This window comes from Homo sapiens, chromosome 14 (assembly GCF_000001405.40).
Source record: "Homo sapiens chromosome 14, GRCh38.p14 Primary Assembly".
Classification (NCBI taxonomy): domain Eukaryota; kingdom Metazoa; phylum Chordata; class Mammalia; order Primates; family Hominidae; genus Homo; species Homo sapiens.
This window is the reverse complement of record NC_000014.9, coordinates 65,067,236-65,083,036: the sequence shown is the minus strand read 5'-3', so window position 1 is coordinate 65,083,036 and position 15,801 is coordinate 65,067,236. Positions and strand designations below refer to the sequence as shown.

At 47.7% G+C, this 15,801-nt stretch overlaps 1 protein-coding gene across 33 annotated transcripts in view, besides 1 other annotated feature; it reads left to right on the top strand.

The window, feature by feature from the left end:
* MAX (MYC associated factor X) overlaps positions 1-15,801 on the top strand; it is a 96,595-nt gene that overhangs the window by 19,659 nt on the left and 61,135 nt on the right. For 7 of the 33 annotated variants that reach the window (NR_176282.1, NR_176275.1, NR_176279.1 and 4 more), the window contains 3 exons: positions 5,001-5,124; positions 5,609-5,709; positions 6,374-7,910. The exons of 2 other annotated variants lie outside the window; for them this stretch is intronic. Coding sequence is in view for 24 of the 31 variants with exons in the window: in NM_001407110.1 (NP_001394039.1) it covers positions 5,001-5,124; positions 5,609-5,625 (141 nt within the window). In the remaining 7 variants the exon portion in view is untranslated. Of the gene's footprint in view, positions 1-5,000; positions 5,125-5,393; positions 5,745-6,373; positions 7,914-15,801 lie in introns of those variants that run through there. 24 more of the 33 variants (NR_176278.1, NR_176280.1, NM_001407095.1 and 21 more) reach the window with 6 other exon arrangements.
* Positions 4,659-5,634: an enhancer, noted in NCBI's record as "H3K27ac-H3K4me1 hESC enhancer chr14:65544121-65545096 (GRCh37/hg19 assembly coordinates)". NCBI's record gives its function as "activates a minimal SCP1, AML or CMV promoter by ChIP-STARR-seq in naive H9 embryonic stem cells {active_cell/tissue: H9 hESC(naive)}" and the evidence as "EXISTENCE:reporter gene assay evidence [ECO:0000049][PMID:30033119]".

Genomic DNA, 15,801 nt, shown 5'->3' with positions numbered 1-15,801 from the left:
TATCCTTCTGGGCTGCCAAGAGGTAATGAAGCCAGCAGTGTACTGTGGGAAGCTGACATCCCCCACCTAACCTTCCACTTCTGCCCTCCAGACCAGATGGTTAGGTCAGTTCTCTCAAGCTCGCTTGCATCTTGAGGCTTTTCCTTTCAATGTGTTTCTGCTAGAAGCCTGTTTAGTTCTCACCTGTCTTTAAAATAGAAAGAAAAATAACCTTCCTTCAATGCTGCTATCCTGCTATTACAAACTACCATTTTTCACTTTTTTTTTTTTATACAGGGTCTCACTCTTTTTTTTCAGGCTGGAGTGTGTTGGCACAAGCCTGTCTCACTGCAGCTTCAGCCCCATGGGCTCAAGAGATCCTCCCACCTTTGCCTCCCAAGTAGCTGGGACCACATTCGTGTACCACCATGCCCAGCTAATCTTTTGATTTTTTTATAGAGCCCAAGTGTCTTGCTGTGTTTTCTAGGCTGGTCCCCAACACCTGAGCCCTAGTGATCCTCCCACCTCAGCCTCCCAGGGTGCTGGGATTACAGGCATGAGCCACTGCACCTGGCCTACTTCTTACTTTTCAACCAAATTCTGAAGACTAGTCTTCATCATTGCCTCACTTGCAACTCAATTCTTATGCCTGTTACCGGTGCAGAGACAATTTACCATTGGGCTTCGGCTGTCACTCCTCCAAGAAAACCACCTTCACTAGGGTCTTCCATTTGACGTCCTTGTAGGCAAATCAGGTGACTTTCGTAGTCCTTTTCCTCCTCCAACTTTCCCCTCCATGACAACAGTGTCCCTGCAATTCTATTGATCTTTTTAAATTAGTTCCATAGCTTCCCCTGTGTTCCCAAAGTATGAGTGTCCTGGAGGCTTGGATTCAAATCCTGACTCAACTTCCTATTAGTTTACATAACATTGGGTAAATTACAGCTCTGTGTCTCGGTTTCCTCATTTATAAAATAGGGAAAACATCAGAAGGTTGTGTGAGGATGCCTGACACTTAGTAAGTACTCAGTAAGTGTTAGTGCTGCCATTGTTACCACCCCCATCATCATTGTCACTTGTGTTGCTATGTGCAGCCATGGCTTTGGAGCAAGATCTCGCAAGGCTGCCCAGTATCCCTTTGTGTGGCTCCCAGAGGTGAGAGAGAGGCCTGCTGAGCCCTTTGCGTTTGCTTACATGGCTACATGGGAGGCCTGGCTACCTCTTCAGTCCCTTCAGCCACCATCCACCCTGTCTCAGGGCTCCATCCAAGCCATTTAAAGAGCCATTTCTGTTCACAAAGACAGACTCAAAATTATGATTCTGCTAATTATAAAAACTATCAGGAAAAAAATTTTCAGGCTTTTACTGAGTACCCAAGGCAGCACTTGCTCTGTGGACATGTTGACTTACCAAGTTCTATCTGATCAGTCACACTCACATGAAGATAGGCAGTTGACTCAGCTGACTTAGAGCAATTTTCAGAAAACAGAAACTGAAAGTCCAGGGTTATTCCATAGTCCATGCCATAAATCCCAGGGTTTCTTGCTGGTTTCGTGTTTGCTGGTCACATATTATAAACTCATAAAGACAAGGAAGGCCCTGCCCCCACCTTCATCCTGTGTTTGGCCACATGATCTTGTATGGAGTGGAAAGATGGGAGGGGAGGATTGCAGGTGAGTCTAGCATTTTTAGCTTCAGCCTTTTGCTTTTTCTTTCCTGGACTACATGCACATGCAAATTTGGGGTATTTCTGTATTTTGTGCTTTAAATTTTTTTCTTGTTGGGCCTTAATTCTTGTTGGGTACCCTGGGAAGAGTAAAATAAAGTTAACTCTGAACCATTCTTTTGGACTTGCTGAGGGATCAGGGCACCCTAAGTGACCAGGGGCACTTCTGCTTTCAGCAGAGGATGGAGGAAGGGCTGTGCTTAGCATTCTGAAGGCCTCGTTCTGAGTTTAAACCAATCCAGCCTTCTTTGGACTCCTGTTGTTCCCAAGACACTATGTTCTGAACATCTATGAATTTTATCTTCATCCAAAAATTACCCTGAAATGGAAACTGCCATCCCTCACAGATCTTTTTCTCTCTTCTGGCTTGTTTTGCTGTGCTTACTGCTCACTTTTCACTTCTTGATCCTAATTCCCTGGTTTCATGTATAAATATTTGAAGGAGAAACTGGTAGCAAAAAGGCTGTTACTCAGTCTGGTCATTCATTAAAAGTTATCACTGAACATTTGCAAGTGCTCTCTGGTTTCAGAGATTGTGCATTTTTTCCCTTGTCCCGGATGCACATGGGTAGTTAAGAGCTAATGTTGCCTTCTGGGAACTATTAGTTGAAAAAATAGCTTTTACATAGGCAAATTTAAATAGAGGGATGTAAATTACATCAGTGATGGAAAGGGTAGACTTTGGAGGGCTAGATGGGGTCTTAGAGAATTTCTAGTCAGATGAGGAATAGGCAAGGTGAGAAATGTGTCTGCAGCTACAGAACCCATTAATGACAAGCATGCAGAGCACTCCTCTGTCCTCTAATTCCCAAATTCTTCCTTGCCACTCTACCACCTCTTATCAATACTAATCATTTTTCATTCCATCTCCAGTATCCAGAGAGGAAGGTATTTTAATTAGTCCCTTCTAATTATGTGCTCCTTTTTTCCACCCCATTTTGTCACCTAATAAACCCTAATAAGGTCCCTTTGTAGAAATGGGAAACAGTGTCTGAAGTATCCATTGCTAGGCTAGGAACTCTCATTCCTTCTGCATAAGCTGACTGACTCAACTAAAGAAACGCATCTCACTTTTTCCCCATCCCATCTTGACTGTGCTATTCCAAACGCCACCTTGGTCTAACACAGGGCTCACCATTTCAGATAGGAGCGTGTTGCATGCACACATGCAGCACCAAGGCCAATGCGTAGCACACAGTAGGTAATCACCCCAGCCAGAAGCCATCTTTCCCGTGGTGTCTCTAGTCTCTGCTAGTCAGGTTACGCTTGTCAGCACTGCCCTGTGATATTTCCATGTATAGACATATTTATCTCCTCAACTAGATAGTAAGTAAGCTTTGGGGCAAAGAAGCCATGACTAATACATTTTGTTTCCCCACAGTATCTGCCTAGTATCTTGTACGTAATTTGCACCTGATAAAAATGGTTGATTATGAACAATTTCCTTGAGGAAATTACCTTAAGGGTGCTAAAGAGGAAAGCCTGGAAATTCTAGTACTTGTGAGGACTTATGAATAAGCACGGGCCTTACAAACCTTTCTGAAACTCAGCCCAAACTGAGGCCTATAAATTGAGATTGTTAGGATTTAATATGAGTAGATCTGGTTTTGCTAGCCACGGTGTACATGTTTTCTTTGTCTTTCTCCCGCTGTTGTGTTCTGGTTGTTTAGGACCCATTGGGCTTGTAATACAGAATTGTCAAGCACTCCCTACCCTGAGTAAGAAGCTTTCCGGCTGCTCAGGAGTCTCTGGCTGGAAGGCCATACTTAAGCTACTAGGCTACCCCGCCTTGAGCTTCGCTTGGCTTTGTACTATTCTACCAGTTTGGCTGGCTGCCTGGCCATAAGTAACTCTGACTATGTTTGTAGCCTGGAGAGAATCTCCCAGACAAGTTTGATGTCTAGGGGCACAGTAACATGACATCCATGTTATTGACTTACGAACTTACTCTAGCAAGGCAGTACCCAGGCAACCCACAGCCATTGTAGAGGTGTGGTTGTTTCCTGAAATGGCCCAATCTCATGCTCTTCCTGTGTTGACATCAAGCACCGACAGCTTTTTATGAAAGTCTCTTTAGCCAGGAAGGCTGAAGTAGTGACACAGCAGCATTGTTCAGTTCGGAATAGTTAACAGTGGTTTCAGAGTTTGGCTGGAATCTTGGGTCTTGATGAAACACATTGTACCCATTCCTGTCTCAAGCCAGGCCCTAGCAGAATTAGTGACCTAAAGCTTTCATTTAAGTAGTATTTTAATGTTTCCAGACATAGCCAAGCTAAAGACTTTAAAGCAACCTAAAGAACCAGAGGAGATGGGAGGAGTACAGTTCAGGAGTCGGATGGCTCTGAGTTTAAAGCCAGGCCATGCTACTGTGCAGCTGGTGATTTTGAATAAAGCGGTGTACTTCTCTGATCCTTGGGTTCTTAGTAGAGCTACCTCTGAGACTAATCTTGTGAGTTAAGCTCTGTAAAGCACTTGGCACCTTGTATGTCACAAAGAAGGCCTTCACGGATGCAGTGGCTCACGCCTGTAATCCCAGCAGTTTGGGAGGCCGAGGTAGGTGGATCACCTGAGGTGAGGAGTTTGAGACCAGTCTGGCCAACATGGTGAAACCCCATCTTTATTAAAAATGTAAAAATTAGCCAGGCAACGTGGCATGTACTTGTAATCCCAGCTACTCTGGAGGCTGAGGCAGAAGAATCACTTGAACCTGGGAGGTGGAGGTTGCAGTGAGCTGAGATCACACCACTCTACTCCAGCCTGGGCAACAGAGCGAGACTACGTCTCCAAAAAAAAAAAAACAACAACAACAACAACAACAACAGGCTGGGCGCAGTGGCTCACACCTGTGACCTATAATCCCAGCATTTTGGGAGGCCAAGGTGGGCAGATCACCTGAGGCCAGGAGTTTGAGACCAGCCTGGCTAACATGGTGAAACCGCATTTCTACTAAAAATACAAAAAAATTAGATGGGCGTGGTGGCGCACACCTATAATCCTAGCTACTCAGGAGGCTGAGGCAGGAGAATCACTTGAACCCAGGAGGCGGAGGTTGCTGTCAGCCAAGATCACGCTGTTGCACTCCAGCTTGGGCAACAAGAGCGAAACTCTGTCTCAAAAAAATAAAAAAATAAATAAATAAATAAAGCCTACAGTAGCCATTATTGTATTTCTTCAGCCTTTTCCCACCTTACCCTCTCGTTTCCAGCCACCCAAGCAGTTGCTGCAGGCCAGGTTCCCTCACTGCCTGGATTGGGTTTTTATTTTGTCCCCTGTGCTTTTTCTCATATTGCCACAGGCATCCCGGGCCCAAATCCTAGACAAAGCCACAGAATATATCCAGTATATGCGAAGGAAAAACCACACACACCAGCAAGATATTGACGACCTCAAGCGGCAGAATGCTCTTCTGGAGCAGCAAGGTGAGCACCCGAGCTCGTGGGGCAGCTGGCCCTGCTGTGCTCCAGCCAGGTCAGGCTTTGGCACCTGGGCCTGCAGAGTCAGAGCCAGTCATGGAGTATGTGCTCAGTAGCAGGCTTGGTCCTGCTTCTTGGGGCCTGAGTAACTGAGTGTTAGAGCCGTCCTGAGGAAGGACCTGAGGCGCCAGTGAGGAGACAGTGGAAGCTAGGAAGTTGGACATCTGGAGACTTGTATCTTTTCTGGCCTGACCTCTCCCCTTCTTGGGGCTCAGGTGCTCTGCCTGCAGTAGGGATCACACCTGGCATCAGGTGTCTGAAAAGAGCTTTGAGGTCCTTGGAGTGGAATGTGCTGTGTAAGTACCAGAGACTCCAGGTGTTCAGGGACAGTGAGCCCTCCCCATTGTCAATGGTAGTCCAATCAGGGCAGCCTATGGGCTAGGCCCATGCTGTTCTCAATGCTCACACCCGCCTTTTCCTACAACCACAGGGGAAAGCGAGAGCTGATCAAGTTCTTTGTTCCTGGGGAATTCACTTCTCTTCCTCCCTCATGGAAGATGCAAGTAAAAGGAAATGCAAGTAACCACCTGGGTTAGAAAACCTCAAATAAAATAAAATAAAATAAATTAAATGGGTTGACCTTCCAGGCTCAAGCTGAGCTGAACCAAGGGATGGGCAGTGGGTGGTGTCAGTGGGTTGGTTACTGGGCCAGGCAGCCTGCATGTAGGGGCTATTTGAAAAGCCCAGGTATTTTATGTGTATTGGTGACTTGCTTCCAAGTGTCCAGCTTGTCATTCCAAGTGGATCTTGTACACGAGAGCTAAGCCAAAACTGTTCTTTGGCTGATACGTCTTATGTCATCCTTTCCTGCTGTTGTGTGGCCTCACACCTTGTGGAGCCTCATGCTCCTGGGCCAGCTTCTCCTCTGTTATTGCACTGCTGAATCCCACAGGGAGCTCACGCTCCAGTCTCTCCACGGGGCTTCCACGGCAGGACGGTGACATCACAAGCCTTCTCTTCAGAGTTGGGTGGGATTGCAGAGTGTCTGCTGGCTCCCAGGTCCAGCTGGGAAAGGCGGGAGGGAAATGAAGTGTGTGAGTGAACAGCCACCCGAAGGGAGCTACTTCTGAGCATCTTGAGCCTCGGGGGCCAACAAGCAAGCCCTTAGGAAGAACAGGCTGGACCCTGAGTCTGAGACTCGGTTACTCCCCAAGTCTCCAGAAGGCAGTAACACACTCCCTTGGTTGCCTTTTAGTCCGTGCACTGGAGAAGGCGAGGTCAAGTGCCCAACTGCAGACCAACTACCCCTCCTCAGACAACAGCCTCTACACCAACGCCAAGGGCAGCACCATCTCTGCCTTCGATGGGGGCTCGGACTCCAGCTCGGAGTCTGAGCCTGAAGAGCCCCAAAGCAGGAAGAAGCTCCGGATGGAGGCCAGCTAAGCCACTCGGGGCAGGCCAGCAATAAAAACTGTCTGTCTCCATCGTCTCATCCTCCTTTCAGTTCGTTGGTAGAGCCCTCAGAACCATTTAAGAGACTCTTTATTTTTCTCTTTCTCCCTTTTTTTTTTAAATTTTTATTTTTACGTAGAAGCTCTTGGACAACAGCTCTCGTTCTCCTTCCCCATTTCCACTGTATATTTTTTAATGTATTCCCTTCAGGGATTCCCTGTCCCCAACAGGAATTTTTAAACCAAAACACCCCAACTTGGCAGCTTTTTCTGTGGAGGACAGACGGCCGGCCGGACCTCTGAGCACATAGTGTCCTGCCCACCCTACCAGCTCCTCCAGCCCTGCCGGGCACATGCCCGGGGGACGCCTGCCCTGCCCAGGTGGCCTCCTGGCCCGCCCTCACCTCTGATAGACTTTGTGAATCTGAACTGCTCTACTTTGAGAAGATGACCGGTTTGGAGTAATCAGAATGAACCCTCCTCCTTTTTAAGGGTTTTTTTTTTTTCCTTTTTCTAAAAAGCTATGTATCGCTCCTATTGAAAGACCAGATCCTTAGAGAAGTTTGTGGTATAAAAAGGAAGTGGGGACAGATTCGCAGCACAGAGTCGCTGGCATGTTTCACTCCTGCTTCTCTCAGCCAGCTGTTTAAGCCTGCGGCGCCAGCCTCACGGAGGGCCGTGTGACACTCTCGTGGTATGTATGGGAGATGGCAGCAGTGAAGCAGCAGCCACCAGGGAGTGGCCATTTGGGGTTGGGACAGGGAGGGTGTTTTGGGTGGCATAGAGGTTTTGTATTGAGGGCCAGTGATGATGTTTTGATATTTATTTCCTGCTACTTAAATTTGAATCTGAGTGAATTGTACCTATTTCTGATGATGTCGGTCTTGCAAAGCGACAGATTCATAAAGTAATGATGAAATCTTTCTTTCTTCCCGTGTGTATTTCTAAGAAATAGAGCCAACTGATTTTGTATGTAAATACCAAGAGCAATTTACCTGGTACTAAACCCGCACCCCAGTGCGGACCCTTCCCAGCCCTCATCCCACTTCCTTTCCTACTGTCCTGGAACCTGTCTCCATTGTGTGATCCAGCCCTGGTTCTGGCTGTGGTCAGCAGATGCCAGTGAAGGGTTTTGTGTGTTTAGGCCTCATTTCTTTGTCTTTTTCCTACTCCGTTCCTGGCATTTGCTGATTTCTAGTGTATACTCTGTAGTCTCAGTTCGTGTTTGATTCCATTCCATGGAAATAAAAAGTATGTTGTACATACTGCCGAAGAATTGTCTTGCAAGTTAAGGCTTCCCCCTTTACTATAAGACTATAAATAAAAACTTATTTTATCCTTCTTGGTGGTGGTGTCTTCTTACCCTTGTTAAGGCCAAGGTGGTTGATGAGAGACCCCTCTGGAAGCTGTTAGGGCCTCAATGTAAGTCTGAGTGAGAAGTGGAGGTGGCTTACCCGGTCTTGCAGAACCAGGAGCAGCCATAAGCCAGAGTTGCTTCCCCTTTCTCAGCTCAGCCTGAGAGAGTAAATGGGTGGTGATGGCTTTGTTCATTGGATGAGGCTTTTGAGGTTCAACAGGGATGTAGCCTTAGCTGTGGCAACATTTCTAGATCTAGTTTCTGCTAAGCAAGTGACCTTTGGGGGAATTGGTAGCCCAGAGCTGTGGTTCAGGTTCTCCTGGTAATGAGTGCCCAGTTCAGAGGTGGCTGTTCTCCAGGACCTTTCAGTTTCTAGATAGTTCCAGTTTATTAAGAGGAGGCAGCAGAGCTGCCAAGGACTGGAAGTCAAGAAGGCTCCAACTGCACCGAGTTAGCTCTACTCAGACTGGGACCCAACACCAGCCTGAACTTGTTTGACCTTGGAAGAAAAAGGAATTATGGCCAGAACGCAGCTCAGTGTTGGTTTTCCTGTCTGGCTGACAGGAAATACTGCTGTTCCTAGACCCAGAGAGGAAGTCAAGTCAAATCAGTTCTTGGATTTGTCACCATCTTTAGAGTGGTGGAGAGCACTGTGGCTCCTATCAATTGTATGTCAAATCCGTAATATCTTTTTTTGTTTAATGGGAGCTGGGGCAGATGGGTCTTGTCAATTTGAAACATGATCAAGCCTCCAAAGGCCATGATTACATTAAGGAAAAGAAAAATGCTGGGAAAGCAAGATCCCATTTATAAAGGCACTTCTTTTCAAGATAGAGGAAAGAAACTGCAGTAAGGAAGAAATGGAAATGAGAATCAGCTTATTGCCTAAAGCCCTCAAGGTTAACATGCTTTCCTCTTTTTCATTGCCCTTAACTATATCTCTTTGTATATCTGGGCTTAAGTATACAGTTGGTTTGCTTAGTATTGGTGTTAGAAGTGAGCTGTGGGTGAAGCCATGTTGATGCAGAGATGGAAGGCATGTGAAGCTGGCACCCAGTAGGGAGATAGCAAACAGGAAGGGGCAGTCAAGCCAGCATGAGGACAGGTGGTGTCCCTGAGAGCCAGTCCCTGGCTCCAGTGTATTGGCTGGACAAAGGATTGAGTTTAGGCTTCTCTAGATTTCAGTAAACCAGTTCAGACAAGGGGCACAGTGGCTAGGTGGCTGGTTCACCTAGGAAAATCCAAACCACCTGATTGACATGGTGAGCGGACTTTGGCACAGGGTGGAGGTACCACTGGAAGCAGCTTCCTGGGCAGGAACACAGGGCAGGGGAGCTCCGCCTGGAAACTGCTCAGCTGAAAAGGCCAAGTCAAAGTCACAGCCAAGCAAGCCCCTTCTGGTATGTGTGTCTAGGAAGCGAGTGTGAGTATTCCCTCAGGATACCAAAGTCGGACCATAGCTTACTCTCTCACAGTAATGGTAATCTCTGGTTTATTTTTTATATTACTCTGGACACTCACTTACACAAAACCAGATAAGCTGTAGATTTGCTTGGTCACTGTGGCAGGTGGCTTCACTGAGGAGTCTGTTAAGCGTGCTATTTCCCTACCTTTACAGTTGCCCCAAGTGCAAGGGTATTTAAAATGGCCCAGTTTTTAAAGTTCTTGATACGCTAACCCCATTGTAAAACATCAACAACTTCTTAGGTAAAGAATCTAAGCTCACAGAGCTGTCATCTTAGCTGAGACAGGTTTAAAAAACAAGACTGAGTAGACAATAGGAGCCAGAGCCCTGAACTGGGACTGAAGTAAGCAGAATTCTGTTTCTGATAGTATCATGTGTGTTTTATGCTTGGCCTCTGAAAGCAGACTGGCTGGGTTCACAGTCCTGTCTCTGCCACTCGGTGGCTGTGTTACTTCTCCCAGCCTCAGCATCTTTATCTATAAAATGAGGATAATAATAGCACTAGCCTCATGAGATGGTTATGAGGCTTAAATGAGATAATGCTTATAATGTGCTTGACCTCAGGACCAAGCAAGCACTGAGGTGCCTCTGCTGTCATTATCTACACAAAGCATGTAACCAGGGCTGACTCAGCAAGGTGGAAAAAGCCAGCTCCCAGACACCTTTCCTAAAGTGAGTAAGGGTTGACTTCTTGGTATATCACAAATGCTTCCCACTCCTCAGAGATGTGCCCCATCCTTACCAGGCACAGTGACTAAAGAGAGCAAGGTGACACCAGGACTGGACTGACAAACTCTTCGAGACTAAAGCAGCCCCTGTGGGTACATTAATTAGATCTGGTGTCAACTCGAGTGAGGCTCTGCCCATTCCCTCCCACCACGATTCAGTGGCATCTCTCAGGTTTGGACACTTTTGGAGGCCCAGGCAGAACTGCTCAGAAGCCCCATGTGGTGTTACTCAAAGTGGGATCCTTGGATCATGCCCAGGGCTGCTTGTTAAAAGGATTCCTGGGCTCTAACCCCTCTAATCTAAAGTGTGCCGTGGCTCACCAGTCAGTTTAACAAGCTCTTTCAGGTGGTCCTCAAGTCACTCAGGTTTGACTCCCAACAGTAATATAACCCGGGGAACCAAAAGGACGCTGTTGGGGAAGTTAGGCACAGCTGAGCTGAATTAGCGAAGTGGTTCTGAGGTCAGGATGAAGGTGGGGGAGGCGGGCTTGTTAAATAGTTCAACCCTTAGAGCTGCCTTGATGAGTCTACGTGCTCCCAGCATGCCTCCAATGCTCTAGGGGGCTGGCTGAGCTACCCAGTTTTTAAACTTGAGAAGGAAGAAAGCTGAGGGCTGCCTACACTAGCCCCTTTAGAAGCCCCAAGCAGGGGTAATGACATGGGGCAGCACTCATTTCTGTAGCATGCCTAGGCTGGCCTCTGGTCCCCAGGCAGGTTTTATAATCCAGCCAGAGCAAGGGTCTCTCTCAGGCCTGGTCACCAGGATGCATTCTCAAAAGCCTCTGGGAACATGAAACTAGAGCATTCCTTTCTTCAAAACTGTTTCTCTAGCCTGAAGAGGAAACCCAGGTAGGAAAAAAGAGTTTGTCAATGTCTACACTGCTAGATAGCGAATAGAGAATTTCCTTCAGTGTCTAGGGTTTACTAGGGCAGCGGCTAACTCATACATCCCCAAAGTTCCCTTGGGAAGGGAATAAAAAATAGTTTCTAGTTAACTTCCTCAGGGAGAAAACCAATTTGGCTAAGCCAGGCTTAACTATAGGTAGGACTGGGTGACTGCACCAGGCAGGCCTGTGCATGGGTTTTGGAGGCTCTCCTGGCAAACCCTTATCACCCTGCTGGTAAGTGTTGTCCTTGCTTGGTGTTTCATTGGGGTCGGTGTTGGGAAGGAGCCCAGGGAGCTTCAGAATGACTGCCAGAGCGGGTAGGGCTAGGGGCTCTGAGCCCGCCTGTCTGGACTGCCATGCCAGCTACAACCCTTACCTTTGGGGTGACATTGCTCTGGCTTCCTGTGCCATTATGTGAGGACAATAATAGCACCAAGTGCCATTGTGAGGCTTAAAGGAGTGTGAGAAGCCCATGAATTGTTCCTGGCATTTAATACTCAATAAATACTGTCAAATCTTAGATGTGTCTGCCATCAGATGTCCTGGGTAGTGCAGCCATTTTTTAGTTTTGTTAAAATGTGGAATGAAGCTGGGCGCAGAGGCTCACACCTGTAATATCAGCACTTTGGGAAGCCAAGGTGGGCGGATCACTTGAGGTCAGGAGTTTGAGACCAGCCTGGTCAATGTGGTGAAACCCCGTCTCTACTAAAAATACAAAAAAATTAGCCGAGCATAGTGTTGCATGCCTGTGGTCCCAGCTACTCGGGAGACTGAGGCAGGAGAATCGCTTGAACCCAGGAGGCAGAGGTTGCAGTGAGCCAAGATCACGCCACTGCACTCCAGCCTGGGTGACACAGCAAGACTCCTTCTCAGAAAAAAAAAAATGTGGAGTGAATAAACTCTCCTTTTCGCTGATGTAATAAGAGTTTAGTATATTAAAATCCTTGAAAGGGGAGGTAAATGTATGTTGAATGCTAAAAGGCAGTAAAAATTTGCATGTTTTCTGAAAGAACTTGAGCAAGACCACAAATCTGTTACCTTTTGGAGAAAAAAAAGGAGTTGAGGAATGAAATATACCCTTGCAGGCTGGCTCAGAGCCATTAACCATTAACATACTGGCGACTTTGCCCTGTTCTTCATTCCAGTTTCAGTTTGCATTTCTGCAGTGCCGGGTGGCAGGCACTGTGCCAGGTGCAGATACTGCAAGTGCATCTGGTGTCTGCCCCGTGTTTCTTGCCCAGGGCTGGTTATGACAGTGGTCAGCCATCGTTTTTCAGCCTTCCCCTTCAGGGACCCCTTGAGCAGAATCTGCCTGGTGGGTGAGGTGGAGCAGATGAGCCTCATGACTGGGCCGAGGGGCCCGCATGCTCTAGCTCACTCTGGATCCCATGTGCACGCTCGCACACACAACACACCCAGCAGGATGGGCGTGTCTAGAAGAATGCCGAGCAGGTGGCCTTGGACAATTCACAACCAGCCGAGCAGGTCCCCTCCTGCGCCCTGTGCTAGATGCCAGCTGCCCCAGCAGGCCTGTTGTGACTGCCAGGCCCCATTTAGGATTGTTTTCCTTTGCTGTCCTTTGCAGGGTGGGGCTCTTGTATACCCACAGCCTGCTCTGGGCAAAATTATGTAGCACGGTCTCTGCTATTAATTTTTTCCAGTAAATTAAAGGCTAGAGAAGAAGAAGAAGAAAAATCAAGGATCCAATATTAAGAAATCTGAGCCCAAACCTTCTACTCCAGTGCTGAACATGGTGAAGGATTAAGCCTCCTATCAAGAAAAACAAGCCTGACAGCCTGTAGACTGATAGAGGGAGGTGTGCCTTCTCTCCAGAAAGCCTACTTCTGCAGGAACCCAGGAGTATGGAATGAGCCATGCAAAGTCTGATTCAAAAAATAACCCAATGGGCATGCACCCCCAGTCACTCATCCGGAATCCGGCTGGCAGCCTGGCAGCCCGGCAGCCCATGGCTCCCATGCACAGTGCTTGAGAGCTTCATTGTTTCCTGTCTGCTGGTGCCATCAACAGCTCTGGGGTGGCAGGGGCAGATCTTGGGCTAAAGGACAGTGGCCAACAGCTTTGGGCCAAAAGGCCACAACAAGACCAGCCAGCTAAGAGGAGGAATGTCATGTCCACAGCGAATACCTACTGCAGCAAGGCTGTAGGAGACTTTGGAGAGGAAGGACCCTGTTTCCAACAACTTGACCATGTTTCCCATCCAGGGACCTCTGTGCAGAGAGTGGTGGTGAGCAAGTATTTCCAACTGGGAGCCCCCACAGAGTCAGTGGCTGGTCTGTGCACTTGTTACTGGACTCCTAGCACTGTGCTTGGCTTGTGGTGGGTACTCTACAAATGCTGCATGCATATGTGCGTGTGCCAGTGGACTCCAGCCTTGTGATGTACCTTCATCTCTGTGCCCTTGATAGGGCGGTTCCAGGGTTGCCTCTGCGTGAGTTCAACCCTCGGGTATTTGAGCAGCACGTAGCCTCAGCCCAGCATTGTGCTGGCTACTGGGGCAATCTAGGCAGCTTATAAAGGCTGGGCCTTGCCTTGAAGAAGCTTAGAGATGAGGTTAGGCATTTAGCACAAATGCACGTCTGGGCTCTGAATGCCAGAGGAGTTCAGGAGATGGGCCCTCAGTGAGAGCGGTTTGGCACTATGGGAGGGGCAGGGCCACCAGGTCATCGCTTCTCAAGCTCTTGATGGGCTCTCCTTCTGTCCTGCCCACAAGAGCCCAGCCTTGGGCTCCCCATCTAGCTGTCCAGACAGGCTGGGGGTGGGGGGCTGTTGGTGAAGGGAGGGTGGGCCAGAGCCATCTGCTCTGCACAGGTTGGGTCACGATTCTATTCCACCACTTTCACTGGTCCCTTGGTATCCAGGCACATGGCAGCCACTGCTCCAGAGAGTGAGGAGAGGGGCTGGGGGGATGGAGCCTCGCAAGGAGCATGGACACCTAGCACTTACGTCATCACCATCGGCATCTGCCTTACCTGGCTACCTCTCTGTTCAGCACACCTGGGAGCAGCACCCTTGCAGCCCTTCTCCCTTGACAGAGCTGTGACATTGAACCCTGCCCTGGTCTGGTAGCTGAGGGCCCAGCCTCCCCTTGCCTCCTTTGTCCCATCAGCCCAGGCCATCATGGGTACAGAAGGTAGCAATGAAGTCTCACACTCGGGGTAACCAACATGCAATACTTATGGAAAGACTGTGTGATCAAGGGTTGAGAGAATAGTATACTGAACCCAAATGTACCCATTACATAGTGTGAACAATTATCAACATGCAGTACTCGTTGAAAGAAAAGGGATGATAAAAATGCACTATTATTGAAAGTAAGAAAGTGTGGGGTCTGTTAAACAGACAAAGGAGCCCACTGAGAAAGCTCCCAAAGGCCAAAACTGCAACAATTTGAGCAACAAAATAAATAATGTAGCATTGGAACATAATATGAAGTATAAAATAAACGAGTCCATAGTGAAAGAAATGGTTGAATAAATTGAGAATAAACATCTCCCATGTAGAATTCCGGGTAGTTTATGCAGGTGCTCTGCCTTCAAACATATGGAGCATAACTCCCCACTTCTGTTTGTTGTTTTGAGACAGAGTCTCACGCTGTCGCCCAGGTTGGAGTGCAGTGGCACAATCTCAGCTCACTGCAACCTCTGCCTCCCAGGTTCAAGCGATTCTCCTGCCTCAGCTTCTCGAGTAGCTGAGATTACAGGTGTATGCCACCACACCAGGCTAATTTTTGTGTTTTTAGTTGCTATGGGGTTTCATCATGTTGGCCAGGCTGGTCTCGAACTCCTGACCTCAAGTGATCCACCTGCCTCAGCCTGCCAAAGTGCTGGGATTACAGGCGTGAGCCACCTCCCCACTTCTTAAGCGTGGACTGCATATAGTAGCTACCTTCTAAAGGACACATTCAAGAAAGGGACAAAAAGTAACCTTATGGAGGAACCTGACAAACTACCTCAGCCAGGCGATGAAGGGTAACATCAGCATAAACATGATGAAGCAGGTTGATAGTATGTATCCTTGATGTGTGATGAGAATGGTACTTTACCTCTGTGGCCTTCCTCCAAAAAACTGTTACGCATGGTCTGGGCACGGTGGCTCATGCCTGTAATCATAGCACTTTGGGAGGCCAAGGGAGGATGATTGCTTAAGTCTAGCAGTTCAAGACCAGCCTGGGCAACATAGCAAGAGCCTGCCTCTACCAAAAAAAAAAAAAAAAAAATGTAATTAGCTGCACATGGTGGTGTGTGCCTGTGGTCCCACCTACTCAGGAAGCTGACCAGGAGGATTGCTTGAGCCCAGGAGGTTGAGGCTGCAGTGAGCCATGATCCACTGTACTCTAGCCTGGGCGACAGAGCAAGACACTGTCTCTTGGAAAAAAAAAAAAAAACATAAACCCATCTAGTCATAAGGATAACATCAAACAAATCCCACCTGAGGGATGTTCTACAAAATACCTGGCCATACTTTTCAAAACTGTCAAAGTCATCAAAAACAAGGAAAGAATGAGAAACCGTCAAAACCAAGAGGAGTCTAAGGAGACATGAGACATGACAGCTCAGTGTAATGTAGTGTCCTGGGTGGGATCTTGGGACAGAAAAAGGCCATTAGGTAAAAACTAGGGGAATTCAAATAAGGTATGGACTTTCTTTAGTAATGTATCAAAATTGGTTCATTCATTATGGCAAATGCCACCTATTAGTGGAAGATGTTAATAGGGAAAACTGACTAATGGGTCTGTGGGAACTCTGTGTACTATCTTTGCAATTTTTCTGTCAAT